This window comes from Homo sapiens, chromosome 13 (genome assembly GCF_000001405.40).
Source record: "Homo sapiens chromosome 13, GRCh38.p14 Primary Assembly".
NCBI classification, from domain to species: Eukaryota; Metazoa; Chordata; class Mammalia; order Primates; family Hominidae; genus Homo; species Homo sapiens.
In genome coordinates this window covers 98,545,276-98,572,742 of record NC_000013.11, presented here as the reverse complement: position 1 = coordinate 98,572,742, position 27,467 = coordinate 98,545,276, and the positions used below count along the sequence as shown (strand labels likewise).

At 46.9% G+C, this 27,467-nt stretch overlaps 1 protein-coding gene across 2 annotated transcripts in view, besides 5 other annotated features; it reads left to right on the top strand.

Moving 5' to 3' along the window:
• Positions 1-27,467, top strand: part of STK24 (serine/threonine kinase 24) — a 131,923-nt gene that overhangs the window by 4,365 nt on the left and 100,091 nt on the right. The window lies entirely within an intron of this gene.
• Positions 314-608: a silencer, noted in NCBI's record as "tiled region #9599; K562 Repressive non-DNase unmatched - State 14:Gen5'". NCBI's record gives its function as "represses a minimal TATA promoter and a strong SV40 promoter by Sharpr-MPRA in K562 cells {active_cell/tissue: K562}" and the evidence as "EXISTENCE:reporter gene assay evidence [ECO:0000049][PMID:27701403]".
• Positions 1,137-2,336: an enhancer, noted in NCBI's record as "MED14-independent group 3 enhancer chr13:99222661-99223860 (GRCh37/hg19 assembly coordinates)". NCBI's record gives its function as "activates an origin of replication core promoter dependent on BRD2, BRD4, P300/CBP and CDK7 cofactors, and independent of MED14, by STARR-seq in HCT116 cells {active_cell/tissue: HCT116}" and the evidence as "EXISTENCE:reporter gene assay evidence [ECO:0000049][PMID:35650434]".
• Positions 1,460-1,509: an enhancer, noted in NCBI's record as "active region_7918". NCBI's record gives its function as "activates an Ori minimal core promoter by ATAC-STARR-seq in GM12878 lymphoblastoid cells {active_cell/tissue: GM12878}" and the evidence as "EXISTENCE:reporter gene assay evidence [ECO:0000049][PMID:35858748]".
• Positions 4,361-4,862: an enhancer, noted in NCBI's record as "H3K4me1 hESC enhancer chr13:99220135-99220636 (GRCh37/hg19 assembly coordinates)". NCBI's record gives its function as "activates a minimal SCP1, AML or CMV promoter by ChIP-STARR-seq in naive H9 embryonic stem cells {active_cell/tissue: H9 hESC(naive)}" and the evidence as "EXISTENCE:reporter gene assay evidence [ECO:0000049][PMID:30033119]".
• Positions 9,234-9,528: a silencer, noted in NCBI's record as "tiled region #8410; HepG2 Repressive non-DNase unmatched - State 19:H4K20". NCBI's record gives its function as "represses a minimal TATA promoter and a strong SV40 promoter by Sharpr-MPRA in HepG2 cells {active_cell/tissue: HepG2}" and the evidence as "EXISTENCE:reporter gene assay evidence [ECO:0000049][PMID:27701403]".

The window sequence follows — 27,467 nt, the reverse complement described above, 5'->3', positions numbered from 1 at the left end:
AGCTTAAAAACCTGAAGTTTGTCTTGTTAACATCATCCTGTCCCCCTCGTTCCCCTTCTGTTTTTCTTGCTGCTTGGATAAATAGACCTTTGCTGAGAATGCCCCTTGCATCAGGATAGTGAGACTGGTGTCTAATGGCCAGTCTGGGAACATGGGGAGCTTTTCTCAAGTGCTCTGCTCCACCCTAGGGAAGCCTGTGCACTCTGGGAGTCTGGGAAATGAAGGCAAACACAGGACAGCTGCATTTAATTGTGGCTTAAGTGCTCTTGTACTTTTTTTTCTTGTTAGTGTCACATTTCCACGGGTTCTTTTCCGTTCCTTCCTTGGGAGGTGCCTGCCCAGTTACCCTGTTACCATCTGCACCCTGGGGGAAGGTTGGTGTGTCACTGGGTGTGGACAGTCAGGACATCCGAGACGTGGGTTCGGAGAGCACCTTGGGGACTTGCTGAACTGTGGAGTGTGCTCTGGTGACTGACAGCATTGGACTGCACAGGGGAGCCTGCAGAGTATAGTGCCCGGAGTCGTTGGAGGCAGAGTTCAGAGCCTCAGTCCATCCTGTCCTCAAGAGGTCGGCTGCCTGCTTTGGGGCATGTGCTCTAAGAAGGTTGCAGTGACTGAGGACACAGTGAGCAAAGGCACATGGTTGGAAAGCGGTGACACAGCTTCTGGTGGGCTAGATCTAGATCGGTCCTGGAGCTGAAGAGGCAGTGGGGTGCCTGTGGGCCTGGGGGAGGCCTTGCATCTGTAGACAGCCGGAAGTATGGCACATTTTTGAGCAGATGATCTCCTGTTCTTTGGGGCTCCTGCTTTCTCAGGTGTGGGGAGTGCTGGGTGCCCCTTTAGAAGGCATTGCAGCACTTCAGGGAAGAGGAAGCCCAGGGATGCGAGTGGGGAGCCCAGGTGTCAGTAGGACAGCCTAAGTGGATTTTTTTAGCATTCACTCAGCTTCGTGGCTTGAACTCTCAGTGAACATTTTATAGTATCTCATTACTCCTCTTGCTTTATGATCCTTTTTGCTGATCAGTGCTAAAGAGTAATAAGTACTCAGTTACTGTTAGTTACTGTTTTGTTAGTTAGTTGCCTATGTAAGTGTCAAAAAAACAAAAAACCTATTTTGAATACTCCGTGTTCCAAAATGTAACAATGGTAAGAATTTGTTTTGCTTGAAAGTGTTCTTTTTTGAGGGGGAGGATGGTCACAAGGTTTTTTTAAATTAGAAAAACCCAAACTTTTGGAGGAGTCCAGTCTCAGATCTGGGAGTATTCTTGATAGCATGTCACATAAAAGCAAGTGACCTTCAAGTAGGAATTGGTCAGATGAGATTTTCTAGCTTGCTAACTGTGCTGAGCAGTTATGGGCAGGTGGCGGCTGGCATCATTGCTTTCCCACCCTCTTTCTGACTTTGATGCTCTTCTTGGAGCTACGGTCTGATGCGTAGAGCTGAGCTGCCTAATGTGGTGCAGGTTGAGTTTCATTTTCAGTTCAGTATTTTTCCAGGACCCTGGTGCAAGATGCAGGGTGAGCAGTTACTGAAGGGAGGAGCCTGTCGATGGTCACTGCTACTTTCTGCTGTGCTTGTGCGGTTACACACACTCTAAAGCCGCAGTCCAGGCGTCCGATGGTCTCCTGAGAAACGGGCCCCTTAGCTCTTTATTTGGGCGATTACTCCCGATGATTCAGAGCTGCCCTTGTGGAAGCTCCTTACCTGCAGGAAGTGGACCACACCCAAGCCACCTTTCTGTGCCTTTTAATGCCTTAGCTCAGCTGATTATCATTAATGGAATCTTGTGGGTGGTGTGAGTGCAGGAAATAGAAGTTGCACTCTATTATCCATGTCTCATCGCGTAGAATCAGCCACTGTCGTCGGAGTAGTTTGTAGCAGTCATTTCCCATAATTCATGTTTTTGCAGTGGAAATTATAAAAAATATAAGTGCCAAATGCTTTGGGAAAAATAACCTGCCTCCTGAGGGTGACTATGGAGTTTCTTAATCCTAAATGGCTCCCTGGTTTGCAAGGTTTAAATTAGGGGAAATAAACTGAGATATGCCTTTGCTTGGTACAAACTGTGAAACATCCCAAATTGGTGGTTACCAGTCACTTTATGCGCACCCAGGGAACAACATTGTTGACTCTAGAGACCTTCCATTGTGTTTCTTGAGGGTTCTTCGTCAGCAAAAGAAACCTTTTCTGTTCTGCGCTCTGTTGGTATCTGAATACATTGTGGGAACATTTCAAGTTTTAAATTAATGCTTACCAAGTACGTAGCTGGGGTTTATCTTCCTATTATTTTAAGTCTCTTCCTGTTTTTTAAGAGAATTTTAGGCCGTAAGGTTTGAAAGAACTGTTACAGGTCCACATCCTTTGTTTTATTTGTAATTACTTAGGATTTTGTTTAGTTTCTATTTAGAAATGTCTAATGGGTAGTTTTGTAAGGTTGGTTGGGAAAGATAGCAGCTGCTTCCACCTCCCGCCATTTCTTATTCCCCGAGGGCAGCCCCTTTGATCTCTCCTGGTTGATTTTTGTTTTTGTTACTCCTTAGTTTATGAGGAACATTAAAAAATTGACCGGGGGCGGTGGCTCACGCCTGTAATCCCAGCACGTTGGGAGGCTGAGGCAGGTGGATCACTTGAAGTCAGGAGTTCAAGACCAGCCTGGCCAACATGGTGAAACTCTGTCTCTACTAAAAATACAAAAAAAACAGCTGGGCGTGGTGGTGGGCGCATGTATTCCCAGCTACTTGGGAGGCTGAGGCAGGAGAATTCTTTGAACCTGGGAGGCGGAGGTTGCAGTGAGCTGAGATGGTGCCACTGCACTCCAGCCTAGGTGACAGAGTGAAACTCCATCTCAAAAAAAAAAAAAAAAATTTCTGCCTGTGTTTTTTTTTTTTTCCTGGTTTCAGGCATTGTCTATAGACTTTGGACCCTGCGGATGAGGATTTACTTCTCTTCCGCTTGCCTCTTTTCCTCACATGGGCTCCCCGCTCTCCCCCAGCAGAGAGATGTTGTAATGTCAGTGAGGTCAGAATGCGGTGTGTACATTAATGGACTGCAGACGGATCTGCAGCCCAGCCATTATTACTCAACCATAGTTACTGATCAGATTTCTTTTCTTTTGGTAATGCTTCTCATTCATCCCAGCACTCTGTAGTTGTTGCAACCTTGTCTTAGGAAGTTCGGGTGGCACCTGTGCCTTTCGTCACCTGCGTATCTTCTATGCTTCTTGTGCCACCCCCATCCTCTGGTCTTCCTTTGCTCTCATCCTCTGGGTTCCTTCTGCTGCTCTCTTGTGTTGAATATCTGTTTTGTTTTTTTTTGTTTTTTTTTTTTTGTCTCTGCTGTCATTTTCTTTCTTGGTTTATGCCATGATGTTGGTTGGGCATATAGTGCGCCATTTTCTGTGAATAGGCAGCGTGGGAGACAGGCTTTTCAAAAATTTTTTTTCTTCTCCCTCAGTTGATATTTTAGCATGGTGTAAAATTGCAGGGTGGACATTCATTTCCTCCAGAATTTTAAAGGTGTTTCTCCACTGTGTTTTAGCTTCCAGTGTTGCTGTTGAAGATGGAGGCCCTGCCAGCACCGGCTTCTGTGTGTGCAGGCTGTGCTGTTCTTCCTGGACCTAATGGGATCTGAACTTTTTCCTTGAGTTCTGAAGTTTCACAATGATGTGGCTTGGAGTGGGGCTGTTTTCGTTTCTCGTGACAGATACTTGGTTAGGCCTTTTCTGTGAAGCGACTCAGATCTTTTCATTGACTTTTTTCTTTGATTCCCCTCCCCCCTTCCATTTTCTGTGTTCTTTCTTTCTGAAACTTTATTACTTGGATGGTGAACCTTCTGCATCGGCCCTCAAATATTCTTTTATCTTTTTTGTTTTTCGAGATGGAGTCTCGCTCTGTCACCCAGGCTGGAGTGCAATGGCGTGATCTTCATTCACTGCAACATCTGCCCCCCCAGGTTCCAGTGATTCTCCTGCCTCAGCCTCCCGAGTAGCTGGGATTACAGGCGCCCACCACCATGCCTGGCTAATTTTTGTATTTTTTAGTAGAGATGAGGTTTCACCATGTGGAGCAGGCAGGTCTCGAACTCCTGACCTCAGGTGATCCACATGCCTCGGCCTCCCAAAGTGGTGGGATTACAGGTGTGAGCCACCATCCCCGGCCTTCATTCCCCATTTTTAAGTATGCTGCCTCTGCTTCCGGCTGTGTCTGCTGCAGCCTGGTCCATATATCCTCAATTTTTCCTTCCTTTGCAGATAATATATTTTCATCATTTCCTTGACTTTGGGAGCCTGGCTGTGAGATGTGGGGCAAGCTGTCTGGCTGTCTACCCACTTCTGTGGCTGACTTTGAGGCTCTGCCTGGTTCACTCATTCCCCCGGCAGAGGGACTGGTGCCGTCAGTTCCTGAGAGCCGGGGGTCCAGCACTGTGAGTTAAGTTAGTTCTCTGCTGGCCCGGCGCGATGGCTCATGCCTGTAATCTCAGCACTTTGGGAGGCCGAAGCGGGTGGATCATTTGAGGTCAGGATTTCGAGACCAGCCTGACCAACATGGTGAAACCCCTTCTCTACCAAAAACACAAAAATTAGCCAGGCGTGATGATACACGCCTGTAATCCCAGCTACTTGGCAGGCTGAGGCAGAATTGCTTGAACCCAGGAGACGGAAGTTGCAGGGAGCCGAGATCGCGCCATTGCACTCCAGCCTGGGCGACAGAGCGAGACTGTGCCTCCAAAAAAAAAAAAAGTTCTCTGTTTTCTGCACCTCCGGTTTAGCGTTGTCTTCCTCTACTCCCCACCCCCCCCCTTTTTTTTTTTAAACCACTACCTACTTTCCAGCTTCTGAGATTTCATTGCAGTTGTCTTCTCTCTGTTTCAGGTATGTGGTGGTTTTTAGATTTATGATTTTAGTGGGATTTCAGGATTGACCCAATTAGATGCTGCTGTCTGTGTGACCCCTCTACCTCCAAGTTGCTATTCTTCAGTTTATAGGTGAATAAAGACAGGGCCAGGCAGGTGAGGAAATTCCAAGAGCTAGGACTGACTGCTGGGCCAGGGCGGCGGGCAAGAACTCGGAGCCTCCGTTCTCTTCATCATGAGATTGTGCCTCTTATTTTCTCCCTGTAAATAAACAGCAGTATACATGTCTGCTTATTTTTCCATCTCTCTACTGGTCGGTGGCCTCCACCTCCCCAACTTGAACTGAGAACCTGCTCTTCTTGCTTCTCTCATTTTTTTGGTCCCAAGATCCTGTGGACACAGAACGATGTCCGGGAGCCTCATAGGATCTCTCTGGAGAAACGCTTGCTTAAGTTTATGATGCTTTGGGGTTCCAACCCCCTGGTCCAGAATTGAGTATGTGCTTCTTGGCAGGGCGGAGGTGGCATCAGTCTGGTCGTATGTTCCGTGGTGGTCGGTGCAGGACTGGGGCACACGTGTGCCACAGATGCCGAATAGCCCGTCAGAGGGCCTGGGTGTTATGTGGCTGTCCCAGTGGCCATGTGTTAGCAGATTGCATGTTGCAGAGTCAGTGGTGTCTGCGCGCTGGGGGCACTGCACAGCGCTGGCCATAAATCCATAGCATGTTAATGGATGGAGGACTTGAAGGGTGCGTATCTAAACAGCGAAAGCTCTTCTTTGGGGTATGGCCTTCAAGTGATTTCTTGCTTAAGGACAGAGTACTTTCTTGGGTAGAATTTTACAGCAACGAACCATTGAGTAGAAATGAAAAACAGTCTGGAACTTGGGACTGAGCCTTAGCCCGCAGTTATTTTAGGTATAGTTTCGTCGAACTTTGGAAGCGTGTTCAATGTGGTGACTTCAAAGTTATTAAACTGCCACTTGAACTCCAGATGAAGAAAGGTATTGCTTGAGGAGCGTTCCTGTGGTATGTGTGATGGATGCAGTTTCCTGGTACCAAATATTTCTTGAGAGGTAATTCACACAGAAAAAGCTGGTAGCACAAAGCCTCACTTCTTCAGCAGTTCTGCAGCAGAGCTTTCTTCTCCCACCTGCTTCCCTGTTGCTTGCTGTGGGTAGGTGGAAGGACTGAGCCTGTGGCATGGCTGGATTTATGTCAGTCTAGAAAATAAACATCTTTGGAATTTGTTGCCCTTCATGGGAAGCCTTGTCGGAAGGGGACTGCTTTGATTGAGTTTTCTTCAGTGAGGGCCAGGCCTCTTGGTGAACCCTCAGGGTCTCTGCTGAGGGAATGGCTGTCAGACTAATTTTACAGATGAGAAAACCGAGGCTTATGAAACCTGCCCAAGGCCTCGGCTAGAAAACAGCATCACTGGGGCGGAAGCCCTGACTGGGAGGCCAGCATGTGTGTTCTTTTCCTTCCTCCCGACTGCCTGCTCCCTGGCGTGTCAGATTCCCTGCACCACATCCCCAACACAGCTCTGCCCTCCTGACCGTCACATTGTCCCTCCAGCCTCCATGAAACAGCTGAGTTCAGGGCTGTGAACAGAGGGTGTTTTGGGCGTTTTTATTTCCTTGTTTTTAACCTTTAAAGAAGAGTGTGTTCATGTTTCATTGTTATTCATTTTTTTTGAGGAAAAGAAAAATCTCCATTTCATTGAGGGCAGGTCCTTCCCCCATAGCCTGGCGTGCTTCTGGCTGGCAGCGTGCCTGGCACAGCAAGGTGGGCAGCTGGCGGTGTGGGTCCTTGTGGTCCTGTGCCGGAGGGGCTGGGCCTTCTTGGTGGCGGTTGTCTGCGTGAGAGGAGGTAGCTGACCTTGGCTGCCACCCCCATGCCTACCGCCTGGTGCTGGAGCAGAGGGAGCCCTGGGCCTTCAGCCCACCGGGCTGGCACTGCGCTGTCTGTGCACTCCTCCTGATCGGGAAACTTGTTCCTGGATTATTTTTAACTGGCTTCCTGGAATTTAGGATTGTGGGTGTGGGGGGCGGTGACTTGGACTTTCAGATGTTTTCCTTGTTCCTTTATCTCCATTCTCTGTAGTGAGCTCTGAGCCCCACCTCCTTAGGGTGGGCATGGAGCTGCTGACTGGCTCCTGTTCATTGCCTTTCAGGTGTTGCCCAGACTGTGTTGTTTTGGATGGTGAAGAAATAACTGAAAAAGTACCCTCTAATCGAATATAATTTTTTTTTTTTTTTTTTGAGATGGAGTCTCATTCTCGTGCCCAGACTGGAGTGCAATGGCACGATCTCGGCTCACTGCAACCTCTGCCTCCCGGGTTCAAGCAATTCTCCTGCCTCAGCCTCCCAAGTAGCTGGGATTACAGGCACCCGCGACCACACCAGGCTAATTTTTGTATTTTTAGTAGAGACAAGGTTTTGTTTGCCCTGTTGGCCAGGCTGGTCTCAAGCTCCTGACCTCAAGTGATCCTCTCGCCTTCGCCTTCCAGAGTGCTGGGGTTACAGGTGTGAGCCACCGCGCCCAGCCCTCTAATAGAATATAAGGCCACTCAGTGTCACCTGGAGGGGTTGGTAAAATGCAGACTACAGGCTCTGCCCTGCTGCCCTGGAGTTTCTGATTCTGGGCGTCTCGGAGGGAGTTTGTGTTCTGAGCAAGTGTCCTGGTGTATTGCCGCCTCGAGGATGACACTTTGAGAACCACTGCGCTGGAGAATCAAAAAAGAATCCTGAATCCTCATTGCTCCCCACTCTAGTGAAGCACACAGTAGCCTTGCCCATTTGAAAAGCAGAGCAAGCTACAATCAGTGCTTGCAGCCTATGGCTTGTATTTCCAAAGACTGACTTTGGAACCGCTGACCTAACTTTGGGAATTGAATAGGCCTGTAATTATAAGACTCATTAGAGCCTTTGCGATTTTAGCATGTATTTATAAACCTGTTGGGGGCAGAGGATGTGTGTTCCATGTCTTTTTGACCTTGGAACCTTATTTTTATTTTTAGAAATGGGAATCTCGCTATGTTGCCAAGGCTGGACTTGAACTCTTGGCCTCAAGCAGTCCTCCTGCTTCTGCCTCTTAAGTAGCTGAGATTACAGGCTTATGCTACTGCGTGCCACTTGGAACCTTATTTCATAAGGAGTGCATCTCTCAAGATCTAGGGTGCAGTAGTCTTTTTGGAAAACCCCGAACTAGAACAAATGCTCTGAACCTGATAATTCTCAAATTTGTCAGGATAACTTTTCTTAACTGTGGTATTGCCTGCTGCTCCTGACTTCCTGATCAGATGTAGACGCCAGCCTAAAACTCAGGGCCTTTTTTAGTACCCAGCTTCCTCCTCTCTGCTCTTCAGCTCCTCTGCCCTGGGTGGGCTCAGCTCCCTGTGCTCCTCCAAAGCTCAGTGCCTGTTCCTGGGCCTTTGAACCTACCCCTCCCCATGCTCAGCCACTGCAGGATTCTCAGACTCAGTACCGCTTGCCTTCCTCTGCCTAGGGAGCCCTCGTAAGGGGAAGCCCCCGAGCAAGCTCTGTATCATCTGTCCAGCTCCTCTTAGCTCCAGGTGCTGGGATGCCGCAGGGGAGAGAAGGGCATACCCGCCGGTGTTTTTCCCACTGATGAAATGACCGTCTTTGGTTAGAATTGATTTTCTTTTCTCGGTAGCTGTTGTATTTAACACTTAACTAAATGTAATACTATACATATATTTCAGAATGGGAAAAAGTATTTCATATCAGTAGAGTTTTCAATGTTTGGGATGTTGGCTTTTATGTATAGTTGATTTGACTTTTGATTCAGAAGTGATCTCTATTTCTCTGTTATCTCTCCCCCCCATTTATTTTAATAATGTCGTCTGTTATTAGGGTGTACTGGATTTAGTTACACTTTGATTTTACCAGGCTTTCTTATTTGAGGGTTTTGGGGTTGTTGGCTTTGCTTTTGGTTTTAAGTGCATTGTAGTTTTTCTGAGGCTTGTTACAATTCATTACATGAGGAATTGGAAACTTTTTTTTTTTTTTTTGAGACGGAGTCTCGCTCCTTCACCCAGGCTGGAGTGCAGTGGCGCGATCTCAGCTCACTACAAGCTCCGCCTCCCAGGTTCATGCCATTCTCCTGCCTCAGCCTCCCGAGTAGCTGGGACTATAGGCACCCGCCACCACGCCCGGCTAATTTTTTTTTTATTTTTAGTAGAGATGGGGTTTCACCATGTTAGCCAGGATGGTCTCGATCTCCTGACCTCGTGATCCGCCCACCTCAGCCTCCCAAAATGTTGGGATTACAGGCGTGAGCCACCACGCCCAGCCTGGAAATGTGTTTTATACGGCATTTTAAAATACAAGGGTAAACAGCACATTATACAGACTTAGGGGATTGACCACATCAGGAAGAGGAGTTACAGAGATTTGCGCTCTTTTTTCCCTTTGTTATCGAAGAATCTGAAGTCTTTCTAAAACAACTTGTGTCATTCAGAATGCCTTCCCCTGCTTTGTCTTCTGCAAGAAAAGACGAGCTTCTGTGAAGTGAAACTACTTGCATTTCCTGGCCTCGGTCCCCCAACTGCCTGTGTTTATCTCTGAAGAATAAAGGCAGAGGATGCGATTGAAGTGTGCCATCTAATAGCATCGGTATTCTGGGTACACACTCCCAAAATTGACCTGGGGCCATCGGTGCTAGCCTTGGATGTTGTGGGATGGGATTTCATTTCCCTGGAGGCATAAAGTGATCACATAGTTTAAACAACTTCAGTTGAAAACTAGTTCTCCAAGTGGCATCCCTGGTTCCTTCCTCTGGGATGCATTACTGTGTATGTTGTGGAGCAAATCGTTTCTTGGGAGGCCTGAGAAGGCTTGAGAAGCTTCCCAACCCCCAAATATACAGACGTTTCTGTGCATGCAGGTACGTTCATATAAAATATGTTATTTTCTATTTTTAATTTTTTTTACCTTTTTTTTTTTTTTTTTTTAAGAGAGGGAGTCTCACTCTGTTGCCCAGACTGGAGTGTAGTGGTGTGATCTTGGCTCACTGCAACTTCTGCCTCCTGGGTTCATGTGGTTCTCCTGCCTCAGCCTCCCGAGTAGCTGGGACTGCAGGCGCCCGCCACCACGTCCGGCTAATTTTTTTGTATTTTTAGTAGAGACGGGGTTTCACCGCGCTAGCCAGGATGGTCTGGATCTCTTGACCTCGTGATCTGCCCACCTTGGCCTCCCAAAGTGCTGGGACTACAGGCGTGAGCCACTGCACCCAGCCTGGAACCCTTTTAAAGTGATAAACACCTCAGTACTTTTTACATGGCCTGTTGCATAGATGATTTCTTAATATTAGCTATAGCAATCAAATGAGAGTGTTTTTGAAATTCCCCGAAAATAATTCTTCTTGAGTTTGTCATTTTATGTCAGAGTAGTAGTAATTCCGTTCCTTTCTGCTGGAGGACTTGTGATAGTAAGGGCCTTTGGAAACCAGCAGAACAGCCAGTTGCTTATCGGCTGTGGTGTGCGAGTCCCGTTTCCTACCCTGGCCCCGTTATGCGTACATGGTCTATAAAAGAATCATGTGAAGTGGGGGGTTGAGGATTGTACAGAAATGGGAACCTTCACCCAGAAAAATATCTTCACTCCATCTCCGTTAAAGTATTTTTAAAGCAAAAGCATCTAGAATCCCAGTACTTGAGTATGTAGTTCTTCCTATTTTATTTGCCAGTTGTCTGCGTACACACATTTCCTTAAGTAATTGCAGTCATAATGTAGGTACACGTTGATATTGTTCCTCATTCAGCATTGTGTCATAAATATCATCCCACATTTCCATATGGTTTTCATGATGATTGTTTTACTGTCTTAACTGACTTCTGTGCCTCCTTTAATACAAGGCGTGTCACATCTTTTTTTTTTTTTTTTTTTTTTTTTGAGACGGAGTCTCACTCTGTTGACCCAGGCTGGAGTGCAATGGTGGGATCTCGGCTCACTGCAACCTCCACCTCCCGGGTTCAAGCGATTCCCATGCCTCAGCCTCTGGAGCAGCTGGGATTACAGGCACGTGCCACCACACCTAGCTAATTTTTGTATTTTTAGTAGAGATGGGGTTTCAGCATGTTGGCCGGGCTGGTTGGTCCTGAACTCTTGACCTCAGGTGATCTGCCTGCCTCCCCCAAAGTGCTAGGATTAGTGGCAAGAGCCACTGCACCCGACCAGCCCTGCCCCATCTTTAGGACAGAGGAGTACCAGCCAGAGATACATACTTGTTTGGCTCTGGCCAAACAAGTTAGAAAGAATAACCTTGCTGCTTTCTTTCTTTCTTTCTTTTTGAGACAGTCTCACTCTGTTGCCCTAGCTGGAGTACAGTGACGTGATCTTCGCTCATTGCAACCTCTGCCTCCCGGCTTCAAGTGATTCTCGCGCCTCAGCCTCCCCAGTAGCTAGGATTACAGGTGTGTGCCTCACGACCGGCTAATGCTTGTATTTTTGGTAGAGAGGGAGTTTCACCGTGTTGGCCAGGCTGGTCTTGAACTCCTGACCTCAAGTGATCTGCCTGCCTCAGCCTCCCAAAGTGTTGGGATTACAGGCATGAGCCACCGTGCCCGACCTCCTTGCTGCTTTCTTTTGCCTTTGGAGAAAGAAAAAATGACTCTCCTCCTCTCATCCCTGGCAGTGCTGTTGGAAAGCAGTGTGTTATTTAATGAGTTTTATGTAGTTAATTGCTTTGCCTAGGTTGCTAAGTGAGAATACCCACACGGTGGTGTTACACTTACACTCCTGCTGGGCACCTTACCCCTTGCCCAGTTGTATTCGAAACAAGGATCACTGCCTGCAGACTGGGGTCCACACATATACTCCTTGAGAGTGTGAGCATTCACTCAAGACAGCAGAACCACTGTCCTGGCTGTGTCTAGGCTCTGGCTAACTTTGAAGTGGCTGTGGGAGCCTGAGGAGGACAAACAGTTAGAATTCTGCCTGACTGAATTATGGTTTTTTTTTTTTTTCTTTTTTTTGAGACGGAGTCTTGCCCTGTCTCCCAGGCTGGAGTGCAGTGGAGTGGAGTGCAGTGGCGTGATCTCGGCTCACTGCAACCTCTGTCTCCTGGGTTCAAGCAGTTTTCGTGCCTCAGCCTCCTGAGTGGCTGGGACTACAGGCATGTGCCACCATGCCCACCTAATTTTTTTGTATTTTTACTAGAGACGGGGTTTCACCATGTTGGTTAGGCTGGTCTCGAACTCCTGACCTCAAATGATCCACCCACGTCGGCTTTCCAAAGTGCTGGGATTACAGGTGTGAGCCACCGCGCCTGGCCAGAATTATGTTTTTGATTGTCTTTTAGATGAATCTTTTATAAATATATGGTAAATAGTCTGGTTTAAAATAGCTCTTATATCTTGTGTTTCTTTTCAGCCTGTTGATTTAGTTAAAAGTCTCAGATGAGAAGGAGATTTGCAGGATAAGTGCCAATATTATGACTTAAAATTACTGCTCTGAATGAACATTCACCCCAAAATAGGACCAGTCTGCTTTTCAGCATAATCATACTGTATGCATTTTGAGTGGCAGGGCAGTAGTCATTGAAATAATACATTCCTTGTATAAAGTTTTCATCCCGTACAAGGTGCATAAGTGGGTCAGGGGCAATATTGAGCCATAGCGTTGAGCAGCGTTGAGTGGATGCTTGGCTGTGCCCAGTGACCCACGAGGACTGGAGCGTCGAGGGGAGGTGTCTGCCTGTTGGCACTGAGACTGTGAGTAGCTGCACATCATTTCAGGGTTTGCTGTCAACCGGCTTCAGATCAGTTTAGATCTCACCTCCAGAGGAGTTGGAAAAACTGCTGGTTTTCGGAGACTTTTGGATTTTGAAAGTTTGGATAAGGGACCTGGACCTTTACTACTACACTTCTATTATTACTGTTTTTTTAAGAGATGGGAGTTCACTATGTTGCCCAGTCTGGACTTGAACTCCTGGGTCAAGTGATCTCTCCTGCCTCAGCCTCGAGTGGCTGCAAAAGCAGGGACTACAGGTGCATGCCACAGTGCCTGGCTTTTTTTTTTTTCCTTTCAGTGATATGAGATATGAGAAGTTAGTGCTCCTGAATTTTGCTGGAACTCATTTGCTTTTTCTCTTTGTTCAGATTTTCAAATTTTTGTTTTGGTATGATTGGTTGTCTTTAGTGATTTAACTTTTGTGAGAAATGGAAACTATTTGGATAGAAGTACACTTTAAGAAAAAGAGGGAGTGTTGTCAGGCTTTGTTGTAAAGATCTTTGCTATTTTACGAAAAATGGTACGTAAGTGTAGACTTTGTGGCCATTTAATCGCATGACAAAAACTAGGAAGGGATTGTATGAGTCCATTTTCATACTGCTATGAAGAAATACCCGAGACTGGGTATTTATAAAGAAAAAGATTTAATGGACTCATAGTTCCACATGGTTGGGGAGGCCTCACAGTCATGGCGGAAGGCAAAAGAAGAGCAAAGTCACGTCTCACATGTCGGCAGGCAAGAGAGCGTGTGCAGGGGAACTGCCCTTTATAAAACCATCAGATCTTGTGAGACTTAGTGTCATGCGAAGAGGATGGGAAAAACCCTCCTGTGATTCGGTTACCTCCCACTGGGTCCCTCCCACAATGCATAGGGATTATGGGAGCTACAATTCAGGATGAGGTTTGGGTGGGGACACAGCCAAACCATATCAGGGATATATTAATACACTTTTTTCTTTTTTTTTGAGACGGAGTTCGCTCTTGTTGCCCAGGCTGGAGTGCAATGGTGCAACCTCCACCTCCTGAGTTCAAGAGATTGTTCTGCCCTCAGCCTCCTGAATAGCTGGGATTATAGGCATGTGCCTCCATGCCTGGCTAATTTTGTATTTTTTTTTTTTTTTTTTTTTTTTTTTTTTAGTAGAGACAGGGTTTCTCCACGTTGGTCAGGCTGGTCTCGAACCCCCAACCTCAGGTGATCCGCCTGCCTCAGCCTCCTAAAGTGCTGGGATTACAGGCGTGAGCCACCGTGCCCAGCCTAGGGATATATTAATATTTTTATTGTAATTTACTTCTGTGGTCACCATTGTTTGATGCAAAAAGAAGCACAGTTTTTCAATTGTAAGAAATAAAGTTTAAAATATGTGGACTGTTCCCAAATACATTCCCGATTTCACTTGTAACTTTGTTGGTTAGTCGCCTGCATATTTTCGTATAGAAAGGAGTTTGGAAATAGCAGTTAAGTTGTGAGGCTAGGCTAGAAAAGCCTTTTACTCCAAAGTCTATGTAAACTATAATCTTAAGAGTTAAGTTCCTGGTTCTGAAGGCAGGAAGCTAGTTGGCATAAGAGAGTTGGAGGAGGAGGAGGAGTTTTCTTTATGTTTCTGGGTGCAGGTTTCTGAGTTAGTTTAGGTTGGTCTTTGGGGCTGTGCCAGGCCTGGCTGTGCCCTGCAGTACCCCCTTCTCCATTGTAGTGCCCTCCTGGTGTTGTACCGCTCTGGTGTTTACTGCATTCCTCTTTGCTGCACCCCCTCTAGTGGGTTCAGTAGTTCCCATGAAAACAGGATTCCTCCTGTCAAAATTGCTCAGCTGGATGCTGGGAAAGTATTCCTAATAGTTCATAAAACCGGTAGGCCTTCTTAATTATGGGAAGAAAGATGTGTGTTGATCTGAATAGATATCTAATAGGTGGTATATCAGCCAATGTGTAAGGCATAGGAGATGGTGTTTAGAGTTGAAGAGGGATCTGTCATACGTCTGGTGCAGTGCTGGCATTGGGATTAGATGACTAACAGCTCCGTCTTCAAGGAGCTTATGGCCCAGTAGCAGAGGCACATGTGTCGCATACATTTCAATGGGAAAAAATGCATTTATGGAAGTATAAGGCTCAGAAGTAGCGCAGAGGAGGGGGTAATTAAGTATCTAGACCTAGCCGGCTGAAGATTAATAAAGGAAACAATGGCTGAGCTCTGTTCTAGAAGAATTTCTTTTAAAGGCAGAGGGCATCCAGACAGATTAGAATGTTCAAAAGCATGGTGTCTTTAAATGGCACAGAGTGTTTGGAAAAATACAAGGAATCCAATTCTGCCGGACTTAAGGGGAAAGGAAAGAGAACAAGACACATATGTTGAAGAAGGTAGTCCAGGACCAGATCATATCAGGTCCTAAAATAAGTGCTCCCAGACTACCTTGTCATTATCACCCATGGGACCATGCTGAGTGGTTTGGGCTTTAGCCTATTAGGTGATGTGACATTTCTGGGAAATTTGAATTGGCAGAATGAGACCCATTTTGGGCGTTGACAGTTTGGTGGTTAGACTGGAAAGGAAGGAGGCTGGTCCCCCAGCTAGGTCTCATTGCGGTTTCCCAGGTAAAAGCTGATGCCAGATCGAACTGTGCCACCAGTGGGTGGGGAGGAGGAGGGATTTGAGGGAGGGAGCTGTGGGGGTGAGCGGGGCAGGCTTCAGTGATGATGGTGATGGAGGGAGGGAGGTGCCCTGGGGCGAATGAACGCACCCACGCACCCAAGTCCTTGGGGCTGATGACTAGCATGGAAGATGAAGATCCTATGTAGATAAGGAATTCTGTTTCAGATGAGTGGATTGTGGGCAGAGGAAATGAACAGGCAGTTAGAAATATGGGTCTGGAGCTGGTGGAAGAGTTCAGGCTAGAGACTGAGTCTGGTGACTGATTAATTAGGTCATTTGTGCTAGCAACATGGGACGGCTGTTATCACTATACAGAGGGTGATTGAAGAGGGAGTAGCCTGTGTTTCAGATCCCAGACTTCATCACACTTGGCTACTCCACCTAGCTTTACCTGCTAGGCAAAGCAGGTTCTGCTCTGAATGTGAGCCCCAGAGTGTCCACACGGCAGCAGCATTGGCTCAGGTGGATGGATGGGGTGCGAGGTGCTGTGGGTGGCTGATCACCAGTGGGAACAGTGTGTCAGCTGGTCGTAAGTCAAGAGTAGCTTGTAATTTCTTAGACGACAGGAGTTCCTTTTAACAAATTTATTAGACAAATCATGTGTCTGAGCTCCACATACCTAATATATACATCATTTTGACCCTGCATCTCTTGTCCAGTTTAGTGGTGGTCACTTCCGAAGTGGGTCCTAAAGTAGTTTTCCAGTGAGTTGCATAGCAGAATTTAAGGCTGTTTAAACAGCCTCAGTCTTGGTTGCACCTGCAAAAATCGGGTAGAAGCCTCTAGGTGAGTTAAACCCAGCAGACTTTCATTTTAACCCAGGTGGGTGATTCTGGGCTTCCAGTGGTGCTGCTTTTACCATCCCTGGTTTGATGTGGCCCAGGGTGGCTGGCATGACCCTGGCTGGTGTTGTTACTCACCATTGGGGCACATACTCATTGTGTTACAGTGATTTTTTTGTTGTTGTTGTTTTTCAGTTGTAGGCAAAAGAACAACAACCTCAACTAGTTTAAGCAAAAAGAAGAAGGGGAGATTCATCTGCTCACAGCACTGAAAGGGCTGCAGTGGGCTTGACTTCCAGTACAGTGGAACGTGAGGGCTTACTTCTTAGGCAGGTGTGCCCCAGCCGATGATAAAGGCGGCTGCCCGCAGCACCCAGCCTTAATGATGTGATCCTGGGGGACAAAGAGCACCTCTTTTTCAGTAGCTCTAGCACAAGTTCTTAGGCAATGCTGAGCGTCCTAGCATAGTCCTTAACCCTGGACTGATCCCTGTGGCAAGAGGAGTGGGGCTCTGGCCAATCCATGCCCCCTGCCAGCCCTGTTGGGGAATCCAGGCCATGCGACTGACAATTCCCCGGGGAAGGAGGAGAAGTCAGGAAAGATAGAGTTCTTCCTGAAGTGGGTCCTGAGTATGGGACCGAATTTCTTATCCGGGCATTTCGTCAGGTATATGCTGATAAAAGACCTTATCTAGAGAAAGGAAGACATTTACATAAGACAGGGAGGCTGGTAGCCCGCACGGTGGCTCACGCCTGTAATCCCAGCACTTTGAGAGGCCGAGGCGGGTGGATCACAAGGTCAGGAGATTGAGACCATCCTGGCTAACATGGTGAAACCCCATCTTTACTAAAAATACAAAAAAAATTAACCGGGTGTGGTGGCGGGCACCTGTAGTCCCAGCTACTCGGGAGGCTGAGGCAGGAGAATGGCGTGAACCCAGGAGGCGGAGCTTGCAGTGAGCGGAGATTGCGCCACTGCACTCCAGTCTGGGTGACTGAGCAAGACTCCATCTCAAAAAAAAAAAAAAAAAGACAGGGAGGCTGATATGTGTAGGACGTTTTTAATTGGTTAAAACCAATCAGGAGTTTTCTGTTGAGAGTGAGGTTTTTATTTATTTATATATTTTTTTTATTGAGACGGAGTCTCACTCTGTCGCCCAGGCTGGAGTGCAGTGGTGCGATCTCGGCTCACTGCAAGCTCCGCCTCCCGGGTTCATGCCGTTCTGCTGCCTCAGCCTCCCGAGTAGCTGGGACTACAGGCGCCCGCCACCATGCCTGGCTAATTTTTTGTTTTTAGTAGAGATGGGGTTTCACCGTATTAGCCAGGATGGTCTCAGTCTCCTGACCTCGTGATCTGCCTGCCTCGGCCTCCCAAAGAGCTGGGATTACAGGCGTGAGCCACTGTGCCTGGCCGAGAGTGAGTTTAAACATGGTTATCCAACAATAGGGTTGTGTGTGCTGCCTGGAAGGCAGGGCATATTGTGCCAGTTATACATGAGGGGAAAAGGGATGGCATGAGCTCAGCGTTCACTCTGTAAAGAGCAGGTCATGATTATAGTCAGCTATGATGGTGGCTAGGTTATAAGATACACACTAGACCAATCAAGTGTAATAAGAAAAGATAAAAGCAGTGTTAGGATATTTTGGGTGATCATGTTCTTAAACTATTTTTTCTTTCTTTTTTTTTTTTTTTTTTTTGAGTTGGAGTCTCGCTCTGCCTCCCAGGCTGGAGTGCAGTAGCACTATCTCAGCTCACTGCAACCTCCATCTCCCTGGTTCAAGTGATTCTCGTGCCTCAGCCTCCTGAGTAGCTGAGATTACAGGTGTGTGCCACCATGCCTGGCTAATTTTTGCATTTTTAGTACAGACTGGGTTTCACCATGTTGGTCAAGCTAGTCTCGAACTCCTGACCTCAGGTGATCTGCCTGCCTTGGCCTCCCAAAGTGCTGGGATTATAGGTGTGAGCCACCGCGCCTGGCCTAACAATTTTCTTTAATATTTGAATGACTTAAGCATTCTAAAAATGCCAGGTTTTTAGTTTGTTTTTTATTTTTGTAGAGGTGGAGTCTTACCTTGCTCAGGCTGGTCTTCACCTTTTGGCCTCAAGCAATCTTCCCACCTTGGCTCCCAGAGTGCTCAGATAACAAGGATGAGCCACTGGCAGCTGGCCTAAAATGCCAGGTTTAATGGGGAAAGGGATTTTGGAGTTTTATCTAGGTGATTTGCTTTTAGTTGATTTAATCTGTGAGAGGTGCAGTGTTTTAGATAACCTGGAGGTCTGGAATGACCATGAGTACAACTTGGCAGGTTACATTGGAGCGCCTGTGTTGTTGCTGTTTTAGTCAGAGGTAATTTTAGTAATTAAAGTGAAATGTCCTGTTTTAAAGGAAGTTCTGTTCTGTAAAGAGCAGTAGGTATTAAATGTCTTTGGGAAGTATGGACTCTTTGGGGGGTTTCCTGGAATAATGAGGACGTTTGTTGTTATTTTTTCACAGCCTTGTATTTCAGTTTTTTTCTTTAAAGGGAGTAAGTTGCATATGGGGGGCTTAAATGCTTTATTGACAAGAAAAAAAACTGCACCAGGACCAATTCATCATCATCATCAGCTTCCTCCCCCTTCTTTCCTTCCTTTTTTTTTTTTTTTGAGACTGAGTCTTGCTCCATCGCCCATCACCCAGGCTGGAGTGCAGTGGCGTGATCTCGGCTCACTGCAGCCTCCACCTCCTGGGTTCAAGCAGTTCTCCTGCCTCAGCCTCTGGAGTAGCTGAGATAACAGGCACCTGCCACCACACCTGGCTAATTTTTGTATTTTTAGTAGAGGTGAGGTTTTACCATGTTGGCCAGGTTGGTCTCGAATTCCTGACCTCAGACGATCCCCCCACTTTGGCCTCCTAAAGTGCTGGGATTACAGGTGTGAGCCACTGCGCCAAGCCTCCTGTTCCTCCTTTTTCTTGCTTTTTTTCAGCCTGAGCAACTCTCTTTGTACTTCATCGGGCATTCCTTCAGCCCAGCCTGCAGCAGGATCCTTCTCATGCTGCGCCTCCTTTTCCTAGGCTACTGGGCATCTGCAGCAGTGTTGTCTCTCCCATCCCTCCCAGTCTCTGTGCAGCATCACCCACGGATAGGCCGGGATGTTTTCTTTGAATTTTGGGTGATGCTCAGAACAGAACTGGAAAAAGGCCAAAGGAGGCCTCTTGGGTGCCTGGAATCCTTGAGCTACTTTTTCGTTCCTTGGTGGAGGGATGTAGGTTTCATTTCTCTTCCTGACAGGCCTGGCCCGCCTTGTCTGCGTCTTCACCTTTCCTTTCTCTTTGGCGGATGTGGCCTTCCACCTCTGCCAGCACCTCTGAGAAAACTCGGAGGAGCTCCCGAAGCCTCTGGGCACTGCTGCTTGTGCTCCCCACCGGCAGGTTTGCACACTAACGCATGTGATGACATTGGCCCCTCGGCTTCTGGGGACCTCCTTCACCCTTTCCTCAGCAAGGCCCAGAGTTGCTGAGTGCCCGTCCGGCTCTCACGCACCCCACAGGGACTCTGGAGCTTAGCCTACCGTGGTGGCTGTCATTATTTTTTAAATAAATTTTTTTTTAGAGCAGTTTTGGAGCACAACAAAATTGAGTGTAAGGTGCAGAGATTTCCCATCCCCTTGGCTCCCACACCCACGGGGTCTCCCCTGGTGTCAGCATCCTGTGCCAGAGTGGTACGTTTGTCACAGCTGATGAGCCTGCGTTGACATGTTGTCATCACCTGAATCCATCGCTGACGGTGGAGCTCACTCTTGGTGGTGTATGTTCAGTGGGTTTTGACAAACGTATAGTGACATGCATCCACCACTGGAGCGTCCTACAGGATAGTTCCACTGCCTGGAAATCAGTGAGGGTATCCTGAAAACGTGTCCTTTTGGCCCTACTCAAGTGGTTTTCTGCAGATGCCATCTTCCCCTTGTTGGCGTCTTCGGTTTCTGACTAGACCGAAGGCAGTTTCTCTGGAGTGGCAGATCCTGGGTCCCCGTGGCTGGTCTGCCACTCAGAAAGCTGCCTGCCCTTGGGGTTCTCAAGGCGCCCTCGGTAGCCACCCTGGACCTCCACAAGGTCAGATTCTAATGGGCAGTTCTCATAGCTCTTTTTGGTGCTCTGCTCCCCAATTCACTTCGAGGCCAGGTTTAAAAGCTGAGTGCATGTCCTTCTCTAAGGAGGACCTCCTGCTTTGTTTTCTCTGCCTCAAATTTCCCTTAGTCTTTTCCCAGCTGGGTTGAGTGGAAGAAGACCTCCGCCGGCTTAGCTGCAGATGGTTTGCCTCTCTGCTGTCCCGTAGCCACTTGTGTCCCCAGCTGGCCTGTCCCCACCTTGCTGACCACACCTTCTCCCATGTTTCTGATCAATTTGGTACCCAGCGTCCAGGGTCTGCGTCCCTTCCCATCATCCTTGTTCCTGTGGGTGGTCGTTGTAGGGAGGGGAAAATACCCCATAGTGCCTCTCCCTACTGATGTAAAGATTCCTTTTAATAAAAATCAAGCTATTATAAAGTTTAATTTATTCAAAATATAGAATCAATACATGACTAATTGTTTAAAAATTAGACAATACAGAAGCATGATTTTATTCCCCAGGGGTAACTAATGTGGAGAGGAAGGATTCTGTGGTTCCCTTAACTGCAAAGGATTGTTCACTATCGTACATTTAGAGCTGAAGAGAAGGCTTGCGAAGGCCATTTGACTTTTTTTTCCTTCCTTATCGCAGCAGGTCCATCAGCAATGTCACGAACCTCTAACCAAGACCCCTCAAGCAATCCAATTTCTGCAGCACTTAAGTGCTTTTCATACTCCTGATGAGACATGATGCTCATTTCTCAACAAAGATTTATTGAATGTCTGCTATGTTTAATGCACCATGGTGGAGCCTGGGGAAGATGCCTACGCCATACCTGCTGTCCTTAATGAACTCACAGGCCAGCTTCGGGCAGACATTCCAGCAAGCATTGGAGTCCAGGCTAATAGTAACCAGAGAGAGGTACAAACTGGGTGAAAGAAAGGAACCCTTCCTGGAGGAGTCAGCATTTGAGCAGTTCCTGAAGGTGCTGGTGGGTAGAGGGCATTCCAGGCAGGTGGGTCTCTTCACAGAGTGGACTGCAGTTTGGGTTGCCTGACAAAGATGAGAAGGGTTAGGTTTTTCCTTCCTCCCTCCTGCATGAAATAATGGGAAAGAAGCCGTGATAGAAAGATTTAGTTTGGAGTAGGATAAAGGTGCTAAGAAAAAAAAAAAAAGAGAAAGTATGACGGGGGTTCCAAGTCTCCTTAATGGATTAGATAACTCAGAATAGCCTTGAAGAAGGCTTGGTGGCCTCGTAGCTTATTTCTGATTTTGCTTGAGGGACAGAAAACAAGGAGAAATGGGAAACGTAGATAAGTCTTGATTTTTTTTTTTTTTTGAGACAGAGTCTCACTCTGTCGCCCAGGCTAGAGTGCAGTGGCAAGATCTCGGCTCACTGCAAGCTCCGCCTCCCGGGTTCACGCCATTCTCCTGCCTCAGCCTCCCGAGTAGCTGGGACTACAGGCGCCCGCCACCATGCCCGGCTAATTTTTTGTATTTTTAGTAAAGACGGGGTTTCACCATGTTAGCCAGGATGGTCTCGATCTCCTGACCTTGTGATCCACCCACCTCGGCCTCCCAAAGTGCTGGGATTACAGGCGTGAGCCACCACGCCCGGCCAAGTGTTGATTTTTATAGGCTGGTCACAATATATATGCATGTATTTTTTTTTTTAAGTTGAACTTAATCTTCAACTTAATTCAGAAGTTGATTAAGGAACTTAATTCAGAAATTGATTCAGAAGGTTTTCTTTTTGCTTTTATTGTTAAAGCATTGAATTGAAAACACTGGAAGCAGTAAGCTGTATAAATGATTTCATTTTATTTTGCATACTTAGAATTGGGCATCTGGAACTAAACAAGAGAGTTTATGCAAAATTACATGCAAATGAGTATTTTTTTACCTTTGAGCCCAGAGCTTTAGGCTTCTACCCTGCTGGGAAAAGGATGCTGTGTCCCTGAGCTTTCATGGGACCACCAGTATAAGTATTAGAAAGGACAACTGGACTTGAGTGATAAATACTGATGGTTTGTCTTTAGAGAGAGAAGACAAAACTACAAGAAAGAGGCCATTCCTTTTTGTTGTTGTTGTTTTTGGAGAGAGGGTCTCGCTTCCTCACCCAGGCTGGAGTGCAGTGGTGTGATCATGGCTCACTGTAGCCTCTACCTCCCAGGCGCAGGCGATCCTCCTGCCTCACCTTCGAAGTAGCAGGGACTACAGGTGTGCACCACCATGCCCAACTATTTTTTGTAGGGACAGGTTCCCCCTATGTTGCTCAGGCTGGTCTCAAACTCCTGGGCTCACGCGATCTTCCCCCCTTGACCTCCCAAAGTGCTGGGATTATGGGCATGAGCCACTGTGCTTGGCCTGTTCCTATGTAAAATGAAAAAGAAGAAACAAGAAAGCTTTTACTGCTTCTAGAGAATTCCCTCAGTTGTAAATGACTAACAGTGTTAATGACGTTTCATGAACTAGGATGAAAATCTTTGTGGAGTATTGAATTGAGTCATCAAAGGGAAGCCTGCAGTGTTACAACCCTAGCCACTATAAATAAAGTGTATTAATGAGCTAGTAGTATGCTGCAGACGACCCACCTGTGGAAGTGAGATTCTTGTGGAAAAGTCAAGATCATTGAAGAGATGTGAGACCACCTAACTGTGAGGTTACACCAGGCATAGTCAGGAGGCAAGGAAATAGGTAGCTACTGTGGTCTGAATGCTTATGGCTCTCCACAGTCATGTTGTGAATCTTAGTGCAATTGTGTTTCGAGGTGGGGCCTTTAGGAGGTGATTAGGTGATTAGCTGATGAGGGTTCTGCCTTCATGAATGGAATTAGTGCCTGTCTCAGGCTGTTCTTCTGTTGCTATAAAGCAATTTATAAAGGAAAGAGGTTTAGTTGGCTTATGGTTCTGCAGGCTGTACAGGAAGCATGGTACAGGCTTCTCTTTGGCTGCTGGGGAGGCCTCAGGGAGCTTTGACTCATGGCCGAAGGTGAAGTGGGAACAGGCAGTCACATGGCGAGAGTGGGAGCAGTGGAGAGAGATGGAAGGTGCCACACACTTTTAAACAACCAGATCTTGCTGGAACTCACTATTATGAGGACAGCACCAAGCCGCGAGGGATCCACCCCCATGATCCAAACACCTCCCAGCAGGCCCCACCTCCAACACTGGGGATTGCATTTCATCATGCAGTTTGAAGGGGACCTCCAACCATATCAGTGCCCTCACAAAAGAGGTCCGAGGGAGCTTCTTTGTCCCTTCTGCTATGTGAGGACAGAGCTAGGAGGTGCCATCCATGAGGAATGGCACTCAGTACACACCGAATCTGCCAGTGCCTTGACCTTGGACTTCCCAACCTCCAGAACTGTAAGCAATGAATCGATGTTGTTTATAAAAGTTGCACAGTCTGAGCTGACTAAGACAGAAGTATTTAGGCTAATGGAGGAAGTTGCACAAGCATTGTTGGTGGTTAGCTGCATATGTTTCAGATGGTCAGAAGAAAAAAATTCTCTTCACTGAAATTGTGTTTCACAGCATGTGTTATCTACATGGTCTCAGGATAGTGTCTCCATTGGGGCTTGTATTAGCAACAGCCTAATTGCAGGAGGCCTCATGACCATTGTCCTACCCCGGGGCACTGATCGGGGTCTTCTCTATTTGTTATTACTAAAGGGCATACCTTGGGAGAGCCACATGTGTATTGAAGGTCATATGGTAGATCTAGTCATTTACTCTATTTTTTTTTTTTTTTTTTTTTTTTTGAGACAGAGTCTCACTCTGTCGCCTGGGCTGGAGTGCAGTGGTATGATCTTGGGTCACTGCAACCTCCACCTCTCAAGTTCAAGTGATTCTCCTGCCTCAGCCTCCCGAGTAGCTGGGATTACAGGTGCCTGCCACCATGCCTGGCTAATTTTTGTAATTTTAGTAGAGACAAAGTTTCGCCATGTTGGCCAGGGTGGTCTCGAACTCCTGACCTCAGGTAATCCACCCACCTCAGCCTCCCACAGTGCTGGGATTACAGGTGTGAGCCACCGTGCCCAGCCATTTGTTCTATTTTCATGTAGAAAGATGTGACACGAGGGAGAATAATAGTGAAGTGTACGCATCATCAGCTGTGTGATTTGAGGGTAAACCCTTGAGATGAGACAGTTTCTTGTCACTTGATGATTTATTTTCCTATCTCAGCCTTTAGTTGGAATTTACTGGGTGTGCCTGTCACTTGTGATTCAGCTGCTTCTTTATGTAGCATTGGCAGTTGTGGCTTAGAAAGGACAACACAGCTGAGGCTGCAGGTCACACCATAATGGGAACAGGGGAGCACTTACTATGTCCAGTTTTAAAAAAAACTTTGTTTTTGCCCCAGGAAAATAAAAAATTGTCTTATTTTAGCCCCAGGAGAATAAGAAAACATCTTATTTTTAGCCCCAGGAACTATAATATGTATGCATTTTTCTGTATTTTTTACAGGTGAGTAAACTAAGGCCTAGAGAGGCAAATAACTTGTAAGAGGTGGAGGTGGATTTGAAGCCACATGCACCTGGCCGTAGACTCCACGTTCTTCTCTTCATGTGGTGTCAGCTCCTCCAGTAGATTTGCTGCTGGAGCGGGAAGTTAGAGTCTCTCTGAGTTCTTAAGGGAGAGAGGGGAGGGCTTGGTGGCCCAGCTGCATAAATAGCCTCATCTACCATGAGGGTTTAGCAGTAGTTTGCTCTGTGTGGATAAGAACTACAGTGTGGGATCAGTTTACTGGAGATGAGAAGGTGAATGAGGCTGTGATATTGAAGTATAGGAAAGGTGCTTGCACATCATGTATTTTCTCAGTTTGCTCCTTTGGTCACAAAGAGTTGGTAATAAGGCGAAGTTTACTAAATTGATGGCTGAATACAACTGGGAGCCTTGCAGAGAAAACCATTTCACAGCTATTGATTTTACTCTTAATCTTGCCTCCCCAGCCCATGGCGTGTCATTACAGGAATCCTGGACAAGAGGTGTCTCAGTACAAATACTGGAAAACCAGCTGACTGCAAACAACCTATTGACTTTTTATCATAGTTGGTCATTAATTTTGTTTTAAAGAAATAGGGTCTCATTCTGTCGCTTAGGCTGGAGTGCAGCGATGTGGTAATGGCTAACTATAGCCTCGAACTGGTGGGCTCAAGCAGTCCTCACGCCACAGCCTCCCGAGTAGCTGGGACTATAGGCGTGTGCCACCGTGCCCGGCTCATTGTTTAAATTTTTGGTGGAGATGGGGTCTCATTATGTTTCCCAGACTGGTCTCTAACTCCTGGCCTCAAACGATTCTCCCACCTTGGCCTCCCAAAGTGCTTAGGTTGACAGGTGTGAGCCACTGGGCCTGGCCACAATTTTAATATAAATTTTAACATAAAAGTTACCCCTTAAAACAATTAGATAGCTGGGCGCGGTGGCTCACGCCTGTAATCCCAGCACTTTGGGAGGCCGAGGCGGGTGGATCACGAGGTCAGGAGATCGAGACCATCCTGGCTAACATGGTGAAACCCTGTCTCTACTAAAAATACAAAAAAATTAGCTGAGTGTGGTGGCACATGCCTGTAATCCCAGCTACTCGGGAGGCTGAGGCAGGAGAATTGCTTGAACCTGGGAAGCGGAGGTTGCGGTGAGCCGAGATGGTGCCATTGCACTCCATCCTGGGCAACAAGAGTGAAACTCCATCTCAAAAACAAACAAACAAACAAAAAAAAACAACAATTAGATATGGAAGGAAGGGGGAACACAGATGTTCAGGGCCTCAGAGATTCAGGTGTGAGTAACTGGAGTCCACATGACAAACACAAGGAGTTCATGTGTTCTGGCCTTTTTTTAGTTGAGAAAGTCAATTTTCTTGGCTCTTCCTGAGCCTGTTGCTTGGTTCTTGACATCTCATTGGAAACTGAAAATGGGAATTTGACTTTCCGTGATAGGGGCTGCCCCACCTGCGTTTGTAGGGTTGAAGCTCAGGCCTGTTGTGGGCGATGTTTGGAGGATAAGCTGGCCTGCTTATCTCTGGGTTGGTTGACTGCGAGACCAGGTGGAAGGACACGCAGCCCATCTGGTGGTGAGTGAGGCCACTTGTGGCCAGGGGACTGAAGGAAGTCCCTGTTCACCATATTCTTGGCAAAATCTGGTCTCCTTCTGGCATAGATTCAGCTTTTGACAGGTCTGGGGATTTCATTTTTTTTTTAAAGCAAAATTATAAAAAAGGCTTTTAAAGTGATTTACTCGTGTGTGTTTTTGTAAGAGTTGGTAGATAGAAGGCTTTTGAAAGTAAGGGCTTTCTCAGATGGACCAGGCCATTTGAGATCTGCCTGAACTGCTCACCAGATCATCTGGGATAGCACTGCCTTTGGGATAAGGTGCCATGCTGTGTGCTAGTGGCCCTTTCACAGCTGTCTCTTGTGAACAGGGGTTGGGGGACAGTGGGGGTGGCACTAGGCATCAGGTGGACCCCAGCACCCTGCCCAGCCTTTGCCGCAGCGGTCATCTGTGCATTGTCTTTTAAACTGAACAATTTCATGTATCAGAAGTTAATCCTGTACTCTTAGCCTTCATCAGTGAAACCCAGAATGACAAGGACTTTAAGACTGGTGTTGAATTATATTCAGATCTTAAGCAATTCCTGTGATCTCCCAATTTCTTTAAACTTTCATGTTTTTTTTAGCTTCAGAAGAAGAGTTTTAAGGTAACATTTTTTTCTTGAATGATTTCTCTTTTTTTGTATTTTCATTTTGTCGGTTTTCCCTATGGAAAGAATTGTTTAAAAGTCATGCAGTAATTACAGTGTTTGGTGTAATATAATTCAGGATGTTTCATCTAATATAGAAAGACATTTGCCGCTTTTAGCTTCTTTATTATTATCCATATTGATTTAGGGTAATGGATTTGAGTTGTCTAATCACTGACTGAGCAGCCAGGAATAAACTTAAAATCTTCTTCCTGAAGCCAAGTCTGGCACTTTTTTTTTTTTTTTTTTTGAGATGGAGTTTTGCTCTGTCACCCAGGCTGGAGTGCAGTGGCGTAATCTCGGCTCACTGCAAGCTCTGCCTCCCGGGTTCACGCCATTCTCCTGCCTCAGCCTCCCGAGTAGCTGGAACTACAGGCGCCCGCCACCAAGCCTGGCTAATTTTTTGTATTTTTAGTGGAGACGGGGTTTCACCGTGATCTGGATCTCCTGACCTCGTGATCCACCCGCCTCGGCCTCCCAAAGTGCCGGGATTACAGGCATGAGCCACTGCGCCCGGCCTAGTCTGGCACTTTTTGATCTGCACGTGTGTACGTTAAAAATTGAGATGTTGCCCTGCTTTTCCCGAAATATGCCTGTGTGAAATAGGC